The sequence below is a fragment of the Homo sapiens genome, chromosome 2, assembly GCF_000001405.40.
Source record: "Homo sapiens chromosome 2, GRCh38.p14 Primary Assembly".
Classification (NCBI taxonomy): Eukaryota; Metazoa; Chordata; class Mammalia; order Primates; family Hominidae; genus Homo; species Homo sapiens.
The window spans coordinates 53,716,400-53,734,494 of record NC_000002.12 but is presented as its reverse complement, the minus strand read 5'-3'; the positions used below and the strand labels follow the sequence as shown (position 1 = coordinate 53,734,494).

General features: G+C 38.4%; 2 protein-coding genes across 4 annotated transcripts in view; both read left to right on the top strand.

Moving 5' to 3' along the window:
• Positions 1 to 18,095, top strand: part of ASB3 (ankyrin repeat and SOCS box containing 3) — a 116,974-nt gene that overhangs the window by 52,459 nt on the left and 46,420 nt on the right. For all 3 annotated transcript variants that reach the window (NM_145863.3, NM_016115.5, NM_001201965.2), the window contains 3 exons: positions 4,925 to 5,037; positions 5,648 to 5,783; positions 17,752 to 17,929. In NM_145863.3, the coding sequence (NP_665862.1) occupies positions 4,925 to 5,037; positions 5,648 to 5,783; positions 17,752 to 17,929 (427 nt within the window). The remainder of the gene's footprint in view (positions 1 to 4,924; positions 5,038 to 5,647; positions 5,784 to 17,751; positions 17,930 to 18,095) is intronic.
• The window catches only part of GPR75-ASB3 (GPR75-ASB3 readthrough), a 189,675-nt gene that overhangs the window by 125,473 nt on the left and 46,107 nt on the right, over positions 1 to 18,095 (top strand). Inside the window, exons 4-6 of the mRNA NM_001164165.2 lie at positions 4,925 to 5,037; positions 5,648 to 5,783; positions 17,752 to 17,929. Coding sequence (NP_001157637.1) covers positions 4,925 to 5,037; positions 5,648 to 5,783; positions 17,752 to 17,929 — 427 coding nt within the window. The remainder of the gene's footprint in view (positions 1 to 4,924; positions 5,038 to 5,647; positions 5,784 to 17,751; positions 17,930 to 18,095) is intronic.

The following is an 18,095-nucleotide window of genomic DNA, read 5'->3' as shown; positions in this document are numbered from 1 at the left end:
CATTTGTTGAATGAATGAATGAGTGATTTGTGGGAAAATGGGATCACTGAATGTAGACTCAAGAAGAGTAGTCTTTGGGGGTAGTTCAGTGGTAAAAAAAGAAAGTGAGAGAAAACAGTAGATTGGAAGATATTTTGTTTGTTTGTTTTATTTTTAGGGAAAGGAAAACCTAAACTAGTCTGCAGGTTGAACAGTGGAGCCCAGTAGAGAAGGAATGATGAGAAAAAACTGGAGAAGAGACAATATGAGGAACAAACTGCGAAGTGGAGTGTTGGGAACAGGCCCCCCAAAATGTGGCCATAAACTGGCCCGAAAACTGGCCATAAACAAAATCTCTGCAGCACTGTGACATGTTTGTGATGGCCATAACGCCCACGCTGGAAGGATGTGGGTTTACCGGAATGAGGGCAAGGGACACCTGGCCCACCCAGGGCGGAAAACTGCTTAAAGGTGTTCTTAAACCACAAACAATAGCGTGACCGATCTGTGCCTTAAGGACATGCTCCTGCTGCAGATAACTAGCCAAACCCATCCCTTTATTTCCGCCCATCCCTTTGTTTCCCATAAGGAATACTTTTAGTTAATCTATAATCTGTAGAAACAATGCTTATCACTGGCTTGATCTTAATAAATACGTGGGTAAATCTCTGTTCAAGGCTTTCAGCTCCAAAGGCTGTGAGACCCCTGATTTCCCACTCCACACCTCTGTATTTCTCTGTGTGTGTCTTTAATTCCTCTAGCACCACTGGGTTAGGGTCTCCCCAACCGAGCTGGTCTCGGCATTGGAGGAGGTGGGAGGCCAAGGTGGGCGGATTATATGAGGTCAGGAGTTCAAGACCAGCCTGGCCAAAATGGAGAAACCCTGTCTCTACTAAAAATACAAAAATTAGGTGGGTGTGGTGTCACATGCTGGTAGTCCCAGCTACTCGGGAGGCTGACGCAGGAGAACCGCTTGAACCCAGGAGACAGAGGTTGCTGTGAGCCGAAATAGTGCTACTGCAGTCGAGCTTGGGCGACAGAGTGAGAATCCATCTTAAAAAAAAAAAAAAGGAAGTGGAGAAGGTATGGAATTGAGGGAAAGGACACAGATGAAATTCTAAAAAGGAGGAAGCCTGCTTCTTCTCATGAGATACGGAAAAAATAATAAGTAAATCAAGTTTCTACACAGAATATAATATAAAATGTCATTGTGTAGTTCATTCCTGTTAGCAACATTGTTTCAATTGGATAGAGTTAATTTGCTGTTGCTGACATGTATCATTCTCTCTACATCTAGATAGCTCTCAAGGCAGAAGCACTCTTTTTTATACTTTGATATCCTTCTCTATCCTTCCCATTTCATCTGTATTCCCACTATCTCCATGGAATTCACAGGTACTCAATGTTTATAGATACGTGAGTGGTTGACTCTGTTCTTAGAAAAGACTGTGAAGTCTGTTTTATTTGCTAGGTAGTTTCTAAACATGCTCTTATACTTGGTTTTCTCAGTAGGCTTGAGAAAGTATGTCTGTATAAAGTAATGACTGCCTTTTTGGAAGCAAACCATTCAGCACAGTTATGGGTCTCCTCTTCAGCCCATCCAATTTGATATTTCCATTTTAATAGATAAAGTGAATGCTCCTCTTCCAAAGCGGAGGCTTTGGTAGTAAATCTGAGCTCTAAATACACTTTTCTAAACCACGATTTCTCAATTAGTAACTATTAAATTTGCTTTATTTTGAAATAATTAACAAGGGCTGTGAAAATAATATTTTTCTGCTCATGTGTAAGTTTTACTTTTGTCATTGGGAAATGTTTTTAATAGTTGCAGATAGCAGATTTCTTAATATATTTATGATATTAAAAGTGAAAACATAACTTGCATCATAAGGTTAAAAAAATGAAAATTTTTCTGTCATCTATATTGTATTTAATAATCAAAACACATTTTTTGACTTTAATTTTTATAAGGTCAGCCTAACTTGTGGAAAACAAACTTACCTTCACTCTCCTTCATATATCACTGTTGACAACCTGATAATCTTCAAGTCATGGACTGGCTATAGAATGATTTTTGCTAACAGTCACTGATAATGATGTATGAATTTGATATGAAACAGATTTTTTTCCTTTTATGACCTCCACCCAAAATTATTACTATTATTTTCAGGCTTTTTTTTAATATGGTAATTTCATTTGTAATTTCTTTATTTTGCTTTTTTTAATTTTCAGTTATTTTTTTAAAGCTGTTGTGGGGCCAGGTGCAGTGGCTCATGCCTATAATCCCAGCACTTTGGGAGGCTGAGGCGGAGGTGGATCACCTGAGGCCAGGAGTTGGAGACCAGCTTGGCCAACATGGTGAAACCTTGTCTCTACTAAAAATACAAAAATTAGCCAGACATGGTGGTGCACACCTGTAATCCCAGCTACTCGGGAGGTTGAGGCAGAAGAATCGCATGAAACCCAGGACAGGGAGGTTGCAGTAAGCCGAGTTTGCGCCACTGCACTCCAGCCTGGGTGACAGAGTGAGACTCCATCTCAAAATAAAACAAACTGTTGTGGGGGCCAAGTGTGATGGCTCACGCCTGTAATCCCAGCACTTTGGGAGGCCGAGGCTGGTGGATCACCTGAGGTCAGGAGTTCAGGACCACCCTGGCCAACATGGTGAGACGCTATCTCTACAAAAATACCAAAAAGTAGCCGAGCATGATTGCGGGTGCCTGTAATCCCAGCGACTTGGGAGGCTGAGGCAGGAGAATTGCTTGAACCTGGGAGGCAGAGGTTGTAGTGAGCTGAGATCACGCCATTGCATTCCAGCCTGGGCGACAGAGCGAGGCTTGTCTCAAAAAAAGGAAAAAAGAAACTGTCGTGGATACTGTCAGTGTATATATTTATGTGGTACCTGAGAGCCACCCCAAATTAGATTGACTTTAGATCGTTTATACAAAAATAGCTTGAAGAACTGTTTTTTCCATGGTAAATGCTTTTGAATATTAACTTAGTTATGTTAGATTCCTACCTCAGTGGTACTGTCACAGCCATTGGTTACATTTCTGAAACCCTTCAGAGTAAGAGTTTTGGTTTTTTGTTTTGTTTTGTTTTGTTTTTTGAGATGGAGTCTTGCTCTGTCGCCCAGGCTGGAGTGCAGTGCAGCAACCCAGGTGGAGTGCAGTGCAACCTCCACCTCCCAGGTTTAAGCGATTCTCCTGCCTCAGCCTCTCAAGTAGCTAGGATTACAGGTGCGTGCCACCATGCCCAGCTAATTTTTTTGTATTTTTAGTAGAGACGGGGTTTCACCATGTTAGCCAGGATGGTCTCGATCTCCTGAACTCGTGGTCCACCCGCCTTAGCCTCCCAAAGTGCTGGGATTACAGGCGGGAGCCACCACACTCGGTGGAGAATTTTTTATTAAAGAACTTCTGAGTGTCTTATAGGGGAAATAAGCTTTGGTATAAATTCAATATATAAAACTAGTACAATATCAATGGCATGTTACTTGTCTTCAGTAATAAGCACGCTTATCATTTCTTGTTTTACACTTTTAAGGATTTTTATATTCCCATTGTTTCATGTGTATTAGTGTTTTCTAATGTGACTCATTATCCAAATGTGCCTTTCTAATTTTGTGACTGAGAAGTGTTGATTCCCACTTCCTGCCTCCTACTATAGTGGGAGATACAGAATAACTGTATGATTGAAATGAAAAAAAAATCTTATTCTTCAAATCTTTTTTCTTACTAATCAAAACCACGATGAGATACCATCTCACAGCAGTAAGAATGGCTGGTATTAAAAAGTAAAAAAATAACAGGTGCTGGCGAGGTTGAGGAGAAAAAGGAACATGTATACACAGTTGATGGGAGTGTACATTAATTCAACCATTGTGGAAAGCGGTATGGTGATTCCTCAGAGAGCTAAACACAACTGCCATTTGACCCAGCAATCCCGTTACTGGGTATATACCCAGAGGAATAGAAATCATTCTACTGTAAAGATGGATGCACACGTATGTTCCTTGCAGCACCATTCACAATCACCAAGACATGAAATCAACTTAAATCTTCTTTCTTACATCCAAGCACGTTAGCCAGACCTTCTTATACATGTCTTACCTTCCTTTCTTATAAATACTACTATTTCTCCATTTTAAGTTTCTGAACTTAAAATTTAAAGAAGTCACTCAGTAGCCTCACACCTAACAACATTCACAGTATACCTAATTTGCTAATGGTGTGTGTGTGTGTTTGTACTTATTTTATAAAGCACTTTGTAATTCTATTCTGGCATTCTGTTTTTCATTAACTTCGTGCTTAAATTCCTCCATAATTAGTGCCACCTTCATAGCAAAGTTTTGTGCAAAATAATCTGCATCTCTTTAACAACATTTTTTATTTTTTCTGGAATCCGCTTTTAGTTCACATAAGTAAGAACGTTTACATTTTCATTGATGGATATAAGAACATTTTGACAATGCTTATGATTTATAGTGGTAAAAAAAATCTAAGATGAAGAAGTTGCTTTTTCATTTTGTCAGTTACTCTTTTTATTTGTGATCAAATGTAGTAATAGCAAACCTTTCAGTCCTTTTGAGATTGCTTTTCCAGACTGGTACTGTTGATTCTGAATTGTCCACCTTATATCCTCCCAGTTTCATTTTAACAAACTAGAGCTAGGCTGTTTCCATTTTCAGAGAGAATAAATGTTTGCTTCTTGGTTCCAGTTCCTCTGTGTCTTTTAACATGCTATTGAAAATCATTTTGCATGTGTTCAGAAACAATTAGATATATGTTAATGGATTTGGGCTAAGACAATTGTGATAACTGTTTAGGAATAATCAGAGCATTGTGGTTCTGAGGTGAGTAAGTGATGAGAACATCACCAAAGTGTCCAGTCCTACAAACATGCCTTTTTGCTGACATTAATTTTTCTAACTGCTGTATTACAGCTGTTGAAAATGGACAGATAGATGTGTTAAGGCTGTTGCTTCAACACGGAGCAAATGTTAATGGATCCCATTCTATGTGTGGATGGAACTCCTTGCACCAGGCTTCTTTTCAGGTAACCTCTGAATTTATTATTTCATTTCCATGTAAATTGTGTGTTTTACCCTCTTAAAATGACAGTCCTATGCAGTTTTTGCTTTCTGCTTGCCTGTGATTTATGATGGTTAGTGCAGTACAGAAAAGGCAGTCTAAATGCTAATGATGATTCTGAATCAGCCAACTTCTGTAGTAGCTGTGGAAGCTTTGGGCTATAGGGATTATCTACATTTTAAAAATGTAGATGGCATATTTAAGAAACCATCAGTTATTTGAGATATAAATTGATAAAGAGCAATGGGTTATTTTATTTACAATAATGTGCTTAGAAATTGTGATGGCTCCTTAGTGCTTTGGTTAGCAAGCTAATTTTTCAGGATTCTATAAGGTTTATAATTCCTAGAGATCAGTGTTTCATGTTTACATTTATTGGGTTAACTAGAAATATAGGATAATCTGATCGTTTGGCCAATTTCTTTCCAACTAATACAGCAGTATACTGTTTTGTTTTTTCCTTCAAGTTATCCTTTAGTGAGAGGATAAAAAAGAAAAAAAAAACACAGTAAGAAGAAAGATACCTTCTATTTTCTTTGTTTTTTTCTTATTTAAAATGTGAATCTGTGCTTTAGGAAAATGCTGAGATCATAAAATTGCTTCTTAGAAAAGGAGCAAACAAGGAATGCCAGGATGACTTTGGAATCACACCTTTATTTGTGGCTGCTCAGTATGGCAAGCTAGAAAGCTTGAGCATACTTATTTCATCGGGTAAGATTATCCATTAGCCTTTGTACTGTTAAGATCATGAGCTTTAAACTATATTTCCTAGAGGAATAATTCTTGTCTCAAATATAAATCAGGTTGTGAAATTTATGGTTTTATGTAAGTGGTAAATAAGAGTAAATACAAATTGATTTATAAACCTGGTTATTAAGTATCTATTACTAACAATGCAGTGCACAGCTACTAATTTATCTGAGTAGGAACATAATGATCTATCACTAAAGCAGGTTTATTGGCAAGTTGAATGATGGGGCTGTCCTTTCCTGTAGGGACTTGAGCAGTTTCAACTTTCTAGGGTGTAAGACTAGTTTAGGCTTAATTACCTTATTAGATGGCTATTTTGTTTATTAAGGCTCTGAGGGGTATGTTAATTTTGTGATTATGTAAATAGGTTTATTTCAAAGCAGGTTTACACTTTGTTATGTTAATAGTAACATAACCTGCTAAAGGTTTCTCTGTGACAACCCTTCCACATTCAGCATTGCCAGGGAAGTTGGTGTGTTCAGGTGGCATTCTTACTCTAAGTGACAATTTTGTGACCAGAAATGTTTATTTTACAGGGGCTTTTAAATCTCTCCCAAACACCAGATATGCTCTTCACAGTGCTAACTTGATGAAGCGTGAATCACAGTAGGCTAGGCAATTAAAAAAAAAATACCTAGGCTTTTTTTGGCCAGGCACGGTTGCTCATGCCTGTAATCCCAGCACTTTGGGAGGCCAAGGTGGGCAGATCACTTGAGATCAGGAGTTTGAGACCAGCCTGGCCAACATGGCGAAACCCCATCTCTACTGAAAATACAAAAATTAGCTGGGCATGGTGGCATGTGCCTGTAATCCCAACTACTAGGGAAGCTGAGACATGAGAATTGCTTGAACCTGGGAGGCAGAGGTTGCAGTGAGCTGAGATCGTACCACTGCACTCCAGCCTGGGCAACAGAGGGAGACTCTGTCTCCAAAAAAAGAAAGAAAGAAAGAAAGAAAACCCAGGCTTTTTATAAACTTCCTTTAAATAGAAAATAGATCATACAAAGTTTGTTTGTTTGCTTGTTTATTGATTGATTGAGGCCAGGCCTTGCTCCATCACCCAGGCTAGAGTATAGTGGTATGATCACAGCTCATTGTAACCTTAAACTCCTGACCTCCAGCGATTTTGCCCCTTTAGCCTACCAAATAGCTGCGATTACAGGTGCATTTCACCATGCCCAGCTAATTAAAAAACCTTTTTTTTTTAAGACATGTGGTCTCAATCTCCCAACCTCAAGTGATCCTCCTGCCTCAGCCTCCCAAAGTGCTGGGATTACACTGTAAGTCGCTGTGCCTGCCCAATAATCCAGTTTATTTAAACAGCAGGGCACATCTTTTCTTATTTTTGCTTTCTTTTAGAAACCTTCAAACACTTAAGTCAGAGTAGGAAGTAAAAGAAACAAACATTCATTAAGTGCCAATTGAAGGCATCTGTTATAAATAATGAGTCTGTAAATCTTACAGTTAAGAGGAATCCCCAAAATTATCTGTTCAAACATAATCGTTTTTAGATTAAGAGTCCAGACTGTGAATGTTTAAGTGCCTTGTCAAAGATCTAGACTCGTTTCCTGGCAGAATCAGGGCTTGGACCCAGGCCTTCTGACTTCTGATCTTCCTTCTACTACATCATACCTTCCGGAGGACTATCCTAATTCAGTTAATGACTTGCAGTCCCATAAGTTTCAATTATTAGTGTTTAGCCTGGGTCAGTGGCTCATGTCTAATCCCAGCGCTTTGGGAGGCCTGAGGTCAGGAGCTTGAGACCAGCCCAGCCAACATGGTGAAACCCTGTCTCTACTGAAAATACAAAAATTAGCCCGGTGTGGTGGCACGCACCTGTCCGAGCTACTGGGGAGGCTGAGGCAGGAGAATCTCTTGAACCCATGAGGCAGAGGTTGTAGTGAGCTAAGATCGCACCACCGCACTCCAGTCTGGGCAACAAGAGTGAGACTCTGTCTCAAAAACAAAACAAAACAAAACTATATATATATATGTGTATATATATATGTGTGTGTATATATATGTGTGTATATATATGTGTATATATATATGTGTGTATATATATGTGTGTGTGTATATATATATATGTTTAATTAATATTTAGATTAAATAGGCCAGGTGCAGTGCCTCATGCCTGTAATCCCAACACTTTGGGAGGCCAAGGTGGGCAGATTGCCTGAGCTCAGGAGTTTGCAACCAGCCTGGACAACATGGTGAAACCCCGTCTCTATTAAAATACAAAAAATTAGCCAGGCATAGTGGTGTGCGCCTGTAGTCCCAGCTACTCAGGAGGCTGAGGCAGGAGAATTGCTTAAACCCAGGAGGTAGAGGTTGCAGTGAGCCTAGATCGCGCCTCTGCACTCCAGCCTGGGTGACAGAGTGGGACTCCGTCTCCCAAAAAAAAAAAAAAAAAAATTTAGATTAAATAGATTAAACTGCACCTTAATGTCTCTCCTCATGTCAGGTGTGTTTTCTTGTCGCCTGGAGCTCTGAGCTCCTGTTTTGGTTTGCTTTGTTCTTTTTATTTCTTCTCTCTGAATTGTTTTGAATAATCAGTTGAAAAGGTATGTAGGTATGTTTATCATGTAACTATACATGTTTCCAACCCCTATTACTTTCGTTTCAGTGAGTTGTCTGTAATTTTTCCAACTTTTTCACCAGTAGTCTTTAAAGAAATTGGTTCCTTATTCTTTGTGATACTTTGAAATTGTCACTCAAAATAACGCATTAAAAAAAAAGTTAAGGTTTCTTTCTTGACTTAGTCTCTTTTCAGTTATAGTGTTTACTTCTTTCTGAAACTGACAGTGGGTGAAACATCTACCCTATAGAAATCATGAAGTTTCTAGTTTCTATCATGAGAAATTTCTGAAGGATCTATAGACTCTTTAATTTACCATTTGTGTTCTGTGTAGTTTTTGCGTACATAAAACTTTGGTTTATTCAAGGTGCATTTATGGAATATTCTTTTAAATAGAAGACAGCCTTTTCCGTCTTGATGATGATCTTTCCACCGAAATGTATTCTAGAAATTTAAAAAACTCTCATGGTCATGTAACAACATCATATGTAGCATATTTAATACATTATTTGCCAACAAGAAAAGTTTGGAGATGACTGCTATTTTCAAAATCTTCACAAAAAGTGAGGTTAGCTTTTAAAAATCTTTATACAATGGCGTATATATAATTTAATTAGATTTGTGATTTTATTTTATTTTTTATAATTTCAACTTTTATTTCAGATTCAGAGGGTATGCATGCAGGTTTGTTACATAGGTGTATTGCATGATGCTGAGGTTTGGGATATGAATGACCTCATCACTTAGACAGTGGGCATAGTACTCAACAGTTCGCTTTTCAGCCCTTGCCCTGTTCCCTGCCTCCCCTCTCTATTAGTCCCCAGTATCTGTTGTTGCTATCTTTATGTCCTTGAGTACCCAGTGTTTAGCCTCCACTTATAAGTAAGAACATGCAGTATTTGGTTTTTGTTAATTTGTTAATTCACTTAGAATAATGGCCTCCAGCTGCATCCATGTTGCTGAAAGGACATGATTTTATTCTTTTCTATGGCTGCGTAGTATTCCATGGTGTACATCTACTGTGTTTTCTTTATCTGATCCACCAGGTATCCATTGATGGGCACCTAGGTTGATTCCATGTCTTTGCTATTGTGAATGGTGCCGTGATGAACATGCAAGTGCATGTATATTTTTGTTGAATGATTTATTTTCTTTTGGATATATACCCAGTGATGGAATTGCTGGGTTGAATGGTAGTTTTAAGTTCTTTGAGAAATTTCCAAACTGCTTTCCACTGTGGCTGAACTAATTTACATTCCCACCAAGAATGTATAAGCGTTCCCCTTTGTCTGCAACCTCTCTAGCATCTGTTGTTTTTTGACTTTTTAGTAATAGCCTTTCTGAGTGGTATAAGATTATATCTCATTGTGGTTTTGATTTGCATTTCTGTGGTGATTGGTGATGTTGAGCAATTCTTCATGTGTTTGTTGGCTGCTTCTATGTCTTCTTTTGAGAAGTATCTTTTCATGTCTTTTGCCCAATTTTTTTTTTTTTTTGAAATGGAGTCTTGCTATGTTGCCCAGGATGGCGTACAGTGGCACTATCTCTGCTCACTGCAACCTCTGCCTCCTGGGTTCAAGTGATTCTCCTGCCTCAGCCTCCCAAGTAGCTGGGACTACAGGCACGTGCCACCATGCCTGGCTAATTTTTTGTATTTTTAGTAGAGATGGGGTTTTCACCGTGTTAGCCAGGATGGTCTTGATCTCCTCACCTCGTGATCCACCCGCCTTGGCCTCCAAAGTGCTGAGATTACAGGCGTGAGCCAATGTGCCCAGTCCTTTTGCCCAGTTCTTAATGGGGTTGTTTTTTGCTTGTTGAATTGTTTAAGTTCCTTATAGATTCTAGATATTGGACAAAGTTAAGATAAAGACCTTTGTGTAATATCCAGAATCTATAAAGATACCTAGTTAGCAAATATTTTCTCCTATTCTGTGGGTTGTCTGTGGATTCTTCTGTTTTACAGAAGCTAAAGAGCTTAATTAATCTAAAGAGATTAATTAGGTCCCACTTACCAATTTTTGTTTTTGTTGCAATTGCTTTTGAGAACTTAGTCATAAATTCTTTCTCAGGGCCGATGTCCAGAACAGTGTTTTCTCATTTTTTTTTCTAACTAGGATTTTTATAGTTTGAGGTCTTACATTTAAACTTTTAATCCATCTTGAGTTGATTTTTGTATATAGTGAAAGATAGGGTTCCAGTTTCATTCTTCTACATGTAGCTAGCCAGCTATACTAGCACCGTTTATTGAATAAGGAGTCTCTAACTCATTGCTTATTTTTGTCAACTTTGTCAAAGATCAGATGGCTGTAGGTGCATGGCTGTATTTCTGGATTCTCTATTCTATTCCATTGGTCTTTGTGTCTGTTTTTGTACCAGGACCATGCTGTTTTGGTTACTGTAGCCTTAAAGTAGAGTTTGAAATTGGGTAATGTGATACCTCCAGCTTTATTCTTTTTGCTTGGTATTGCTTTGGCTATTTGTGCCCTTTTTTGGTTCCATATGAATTTAAGAAATTTTTTTTCTAATTCTGTAAAAAATGGTGTCGGTAGTTTGATAGGAATAGCATTGAAGCATAAAAATGACACTTCAGGGACTCAGGGAAAGGATGGGAAGGGGGTGAGGGATAAAAGATCACAAATTGGGTGCAGTGTATACTGCTTGGGTGATGAGTGCACCAGAATCTCACAAATCACCACTAAAGAACTTTCTCATGTAACCAAACACTACCTGTTCCCCAATAACTTATGAAAATCAAAAACAAAAAACTCTGACATTTAACAGGGGAAAAAATAAAAAAAGGAATAGTGTTGAATCTATAGATTGCTTTGGGCAGTATGGGTATTTTTTAAAATGATATTGATTTTTGCAATCCGTGAGCAGCGTTTTCCGTTTGTTTGTGTCATCTATGATTTTTTTTCAGTAGTATTTTGTAGTTCTCCTTGTAGAGATCTTTCACCTCCTTGGTAAGATGTATTCCCAGGTTTAAAATTTTTTTTTGGTGGCTGTTATAAATGGAGTTGTGTTCTTGATTTGGCTGTCAGCTTGAACATTGTTGATGTATAGAAATGCTGCTGATTTTATACATTGATTTTGTAACCTGAAATTTTACTGAAGTTGTTTATCAGCTTCAGGAGCCTTTTTGTGGAGTCTGCAGGGTTTTCTTGGTATAGAATCATATTGTCAGAGAAGAGAGATTGTTTGACTTCTTCTTTTCCTATTTGGATGCCTTTTATTTCTTTCTCTTGCCTGATTGTTCTGGCAAGGACTTTCAGTACTATGTTGAATAGGAGTGGTAAGAGTGGGTATCCTTGTCTTCTTCCATTTCTCTAGGAGAATGCTTCCAGCTTTTGCCTGTTCAGTATGATGTTGGCTGTGGGTTGGTCATAGATGATTCTTATTAAGATACATTCCTTCAATGCCTAGTTTGTTGAGGGTTTTGTTTTGTTTGTTTTGTTTTTATCATGAAGGGATGTTGGGTTTTATGAAGGCTTTTCTCACATCTGTTGAGATGATCATATAGTTTTGGTTTTTAATTTTCTTTACGTGGTGAATCCCAATTATTCATTTGCATATATGGAACCAACCTTGTTTCTCAACAATGAAGCCTACTTGATCATGATGCATTAACTTTTTGATGTGTTGCTGGATTTAATTTGCTAATATTTTGTTGAGAATTTTTGTATCTATGTTCGTCAGCACTATTGGCCTGTACTTTTCTTTCTTCATTGTGTCTTTGCCAGATTTTTGTATTAGGGTGATGCTGGCTTTGTAGAACAAGTTAGGGAGGAGTCTCTCCTCCTTGATTTTTGGGAATGGTTTCAGTAGAATTGGTACTGGTTTTTCTTTGTATGTCTGGTAGAATTCGGCTGTGAATTCATGTGGTCCAGGACTTTTGGTTGGTAGGTTTTTTTTTTTTTTATTATGGATTCAGTTTTGGAACTTGATATTGGTCTATTTCAATTTCTTTCTGATTCAGTCTTGAGAGATTGTGTGATTTATCCATTTCCTCTAGATTTTCTCATTTGCGTGCATTGAGGTGTTCGTAATAGTCTCAGAGGATCTTGTGTATTTTTGTAGAATCTATTGTAATGTCAACTTTGTTGTTTCAGATTGTGCTTATTTGGACCTTCGCTCTTTTTTTTATCTAGCTAGCAGTCTGTCAATTTTGTTTATCCTTTCAAAGAACCAACTTTTGGTTTCATTGATCCTTTGTATGGATTTTTGGGTCTCAATTTCATTCAGTTCCACTCTGATTTTAATTATTTTTTTTCTTCTAATAGCTTTGGGGTTAGTTTGTTCTGTTTTTTCTTATTCCTCGAAGTGTGATATTGGATCATTAATTTGAGATCTTTCTTTCTGAGCTAGATGTTTAGCATTATAAACTTCTTAACACTTTTTGCTGCATTTTAATATGTTCTGTGTCTGTTTTTATTTATTTCAAAGAATTTTTTGATTTCTGCCATAATTTTATTGTTTACTTAAAAGTTATCCAAGAGCAAGTTTGTTTGTTTGTTTGTTTGATTTTGAGACAGAGTCTCACTCTATCGCCAGGCTGGAGTGCAGTGGCACCATCTAGGCTCACCGCAACCTCCGCCTCCCAGGTTCAAGCAATTCTCCTGCCTCAGTCTCCTGAGTAGCTGGGACTATAGGCACACACCACTATGTCTGGCTAATTTTTTTTTTTTTTTTTTTTTTTGTAGTTTAGTAGAGATGGGGTTTCACCACATTTCCAGGCTGGTCTCGAACTCTTGAGCTCAGGCAATCTGCCTGCCTTGGCCTCCCAAAATGCTAGGATTACAGGCGTGAACCACTGTGCCCAGCCAAGAGCAAGTTAATTTCTATGTAATTGTGTGGTTTTGGAAGATCTTCTTGGTATTGATTTCTATTTTTATTCTACTGTGGTCTGAGAGTATGGTTGGTATTAATTCAGTTTATTTATTTATTTATTTATTTATTTATTTATTTATTTATATTTCTGGAGACAGGGTCTTGCTCTGTACCCAGACTGGAGTGCAGTGGCATGATCTTGGCTCACTGCAACCTCCCCCTCCTGGTTCAAGCAATTCTCCTGCCTCAGCCTCCTGAGTACCTGGGATTACAGGCGCGCACCCCTGTGGCCAGCTAATTTTTTTGTATTTTTAGTAGAGATGGGGTTTCATCGTGTTGGCCAATTTGGTCTCAAACTCCTGACCTTCAAGTGATCTGCCCATCTCGGCCTCACAAGTGAATCAGTTTTTTAAATTTATTGAGATGTGCTTTTTGGCCGAGCATGTGGTCTGTCTTGGAGTATGTTATATGTGCTGTTGAGAAGAATATATATTCTGTGGTTGATGAGTGGAGTGTTCTTTAGATGTGTATTAGGTCCAATTGGTCAAATGTTGAATTTACACCCAGAATTTGTTTTTTAATTTTCTGCCTCAGTGATCTGTCTAATGCTGTCAATGGGATTTGACATCTCCCAACATTATTGCTATCTCTATAGATCTCTAAGAGCTTGTTTTATGAAACTGGATGCTTCAATGTTGGGTGTGTGTATATTTAGGATAGTTAAGTCTTCTCATTGAATTGAACCCTTTATCATTATGTAATTACCTTCTTTGTCCTTTTGTACTGTTGTTGGTTTTTTTATATATAATTTTTTCTTGAATAGAAATGGGGTCTCACTGTGTTGCTGTGAACCCCAAATATCTGAGAGAGATCTCAGTCAATTTAGGAAGTTTATTTTGCCAACATTAAGGGCATGTGCCTGTGACACAGCCTCAGGAGGTCCTGGCAACATATGCCCAAAGTGGTTGGGGCACAACTTGGTTTTATACGTTTTATACATGAGACATCAATCAACATATATAAGATATACATTGGTTCTGTCTGGAAAAGCGGGACAACTCAAAGTGGGGAGAGTATGTCCAGGTCATAGGTAGGTAGGAGACAAATGGTTGCCTTTTTTTTTTTTTTTGAGTTTCTGATTAGCCTTTCCAAAGGAGGCACTCAGATATGCACTTATCCCAGTGAGCAGAGGGATGACTTTGAGTTTGAGTTCTGTCTGTCCTTCGTCCACAGGGAAATTCCTTGTGAGGGAGGTACGTAACTTTTTCTAATCTTAGTAGCTATTTTTTAGGAATAGAATAGGAGGCAGGGTTGCGCTAAGCAGTTCCCAGCTTGACTTTTCCCTTTGGCTTAGTGATTGTGGGGGTCCCAAGATTTATTTTCCTTTCACATTGCCCTGGCTGGTCTTGAACTCCTGAGCTCAAGCGATCCTCCCCCCTTGTAAGAGTTAAAGAAAGAGGAAAGAAACACAAAAGATGGGTTGGCAGTTAAAGACAGGTTTACTTTAGATAAAACCTGAGAAGGGTTTCTGGCTGATTTCGATCAGGAGCACTTTCTCTTACAGGCTAAGTACATGAGTATATATTGGTTTTAGGGTGAGGGGGCTTATCACAAGCTTGGAGTGTTTATGTGTGGGGGAGAAGTTTATGGTGAGGTTGGAATGTCTCTGGGTGAAGGGGGGATTATCTTGGGGCTGACGTCTTTCTAGAAGGAAGGGAGTTATCTCGGGGCTGGCATCTTCCCAGCCAGAGCAGGGCAGCTAGCATGTCTCTGGTCGCAGAGGAGTTTGGCATGTTCCTGGTCGGAGATGCTTTTTTTGTTTATGATCATGCTGATCTTAGCCATTTAGGCTGATGCGCTTTGGATTTAGGAAGTTTTTGATTAAGGTGAATTGGAAAATAACAGTGCTTGTGCAAGATGGTGATACTCCTGCTCTGTCATACTTCGGCCTCTCAAAGCTCTGGGCTTATAGGCGTGAGCCACTGTGCCTGGCTCTGTTGTCTGATTTAAAGTCTGTTTTATCTGATATAAGAATATTGACCCCTGGTTGGGCGTGGTGGCTCACGCCTGTAATCCCAGCACTTTGGGAGGCCGAGGTGGGTGGATCACGAGGTCAAGAGATCAAGACCATCCTGGCCAACATGGTGAAACCCCGTCTCTATCTGCTAAAAATACAAAAATCAGCTGGGCGTGGTAGTGCATGCCTGTAGTCCCAGCTACTCGGGAGGCTGAGGCAGGAGAATTGCTTGAACCCAGGAGGCAGAGGTTGCAGTAAGCCGAGATCGCACCATTGCACTCCAGCCTGGCGACACGGCGAGACTCAGTCTCAAAAATAAAATAAAATAAAATAAAAAACTAGTGACCCCTGACCTTTTTTGTTTTCCATTTGGTTGATAAATCTTTTTTCAACCCTTTACTTTGAGCCTATGGGTGTTGTTACATGTGAGACGTGTCTCTTGAAGGCAGCAGATGGATGGGTCTTTTTTCTTTCTTTTTTTTTTTTTAATCCAAATTGCAGCTGTGTGCCTTTTAGGCAGGATGTTTCGTAAAAGGCGAAAGATTTGTATGATCTGAAGAGACCCTTTACATTCAAGGTTAATATTGATATGTGAGGTTTTGATCCTATTATTAAGTTGGTAGATGGTTGCTTTGCAGTTTCTATTGTATGATTGTATTATGGGGTCTTTGGGCTATGTACTTCAGTGTGTTTTTGTGGTATCAGTGTTGTTCTTTCATTTCCATGTTTAAAAGTCCCTTAAGGATCTCTGCTAAGACTGGTCTAGTGGTAACAAATTGTCTTATCGCTTGCTTGTCTGTAAAATATTTTATTTCTCCTTCGTTTGTGAAGCTTAGTTTGGTGGAATATGAAATTCTTGGTTGTAGTGTCCTCTCTTTAAGAATGCTGAAAATAGACCCCCAATCTCTCTTGCCTTGTAAGGTTTCTGCTGAGAAGTCCACTGTTCCTTTTGTATGTGATCTGACGTTTTTCTCTAGCTGCCTGTAAGATTTTTTCTTTAGTGTTAACCTTCAACAGTCTGGTGACTGTATGCCATGGTGATATTCACGTTCACAGAGAGTTCTCTGTATTGCTTCTATCTGGATGTCTTCCTCTCTGGCAAGATTAGGGAAATTTTCTTAAATTATGTCCTCAAATATGTTTTCCAGGTCATTTACTTTTTCTCCTTCTCTCTCAGGAATACCAATAATTCATAGATTTGGTTGCTTTACATTATCAAATATTTCTCAAAGCCTTTTTCATTAAAAATTTTTTATTTTTATTTTTATCTGACTGGGTTAGTTTGAAAGACTGATCTTCAAGCTCCAAAATTCTTCCTTCTGCTTGGCCTAGTCTATTAATAAAACTTGCAGTTATATTTTGAAATTCCTTAAGTGAGTTTTTCAATTCCAGAAGCTCTGATTGATTCCTTTTTAAGATGTTTATCTTAAGATGCCTTCATTTCCTGAATTGCTTTAGAAGTTTCTTTGTGTTTATTTTCAACCTTGTCTGGATCTTGTTGAGCTTCCTTGCAATCCTTGCTTTGAATTCTTTATCTGTCATTTCTGAGTTTCCATTTGGGTCAGGAACCATTGCGGGAACACGACTGTGATCCTTCAGTGGTGTCACTATATTTAGATTTTTCACAAATCCAAAATTCTTGGGGTAGTTCCTTTTCATCTGGAGATGTTCACACTTCTAATTTTTGTAATTATTTTCATGCAGGTGGGATTTTTTTCTTTTTCTTTCTTTCACTATAATATTATTGTTTTTCCCTTTCACATTTATGATTTTAAATATCAACTCAGAAACCTGTTGAAAGAGACCCTTTTTCTCTGATTGTAGGCATTATTTATCATGCAGTGGTTATGAAGAAAGAGATGTAATAGAGAGTATAGTCAATATTAGTTTTAAGGCGTGGCTCCCATATATGTCATATCTACTGATAATTTTTCATAAATCTTAGCCTGAATCAATTAGTGGCATAATTTGGATTTTATCTTTTTCAGCAGTTATCAGAAATATTATCCATGTTTGATAGTTTGCATTTTTCTTTTTAAATGTTTACTTATTGGGCCCCAGAATGCTTGTTGGAGGAGGGATTGGAATGAAATGTATCCTTCATTGAATAGGATTTTTGTTTTAGCTTAAAAATGAATTCTAAGATATGAATCACTTGTTTTCTTGCTGACGTAGAGGCAAGACCTTTTTATTTTTGATAGAGACAGGGTCTCACTATGTTGCCCAGGCTGGTCTCAAACACGTGGCCTCAAGCAATCCTCTGGCCACAGCTTCCTAAATTGCTGGGATTCCAGGCATGAGCTACCCTGTCAGTTTAGCGAAGACAATTTAAATGATTACCAAGAAGTTAGCAAAGTAAATATGTTTATATAACAACATCCAACATTCAGTGAAGAGGGAAAAGCTTACCGTGCTACGAAACCCTTTTATGGTAGTTCCTTTGAAATTTGTGTTGATTTTTTTAAGTATTAGGGTTATCTGTTAAATGTTTTATTTTGTACCCTTAGGTGCAAATGTCAATTGTCAAGCCTTGGACAAAGCTACACCCTTGTTCATTGCTGCTCAAGAGGGACACACAAAATGTGTGGAGCTTTTGCTCTCCAGTGGGGCAGATCCTGATCTTTACTGTAATGAGGACAGTTGGCAGTTACCTATTCATGCAGCTGCACAAATGGGCCATACAAAGTAAGTGTTAAAAACAGAAAATAAACATGGTCTCTTAATCAAAAGCTAATAAAGAATAAATCTGGGCTAGACCCTTCACCTCTAGGCAAAGTCTTTGATATTCTCTTCCCTACCAATCTGCTGGGTGAACAGATCTACCCCTAATCTGTCCTTCATGCTGTCTTTT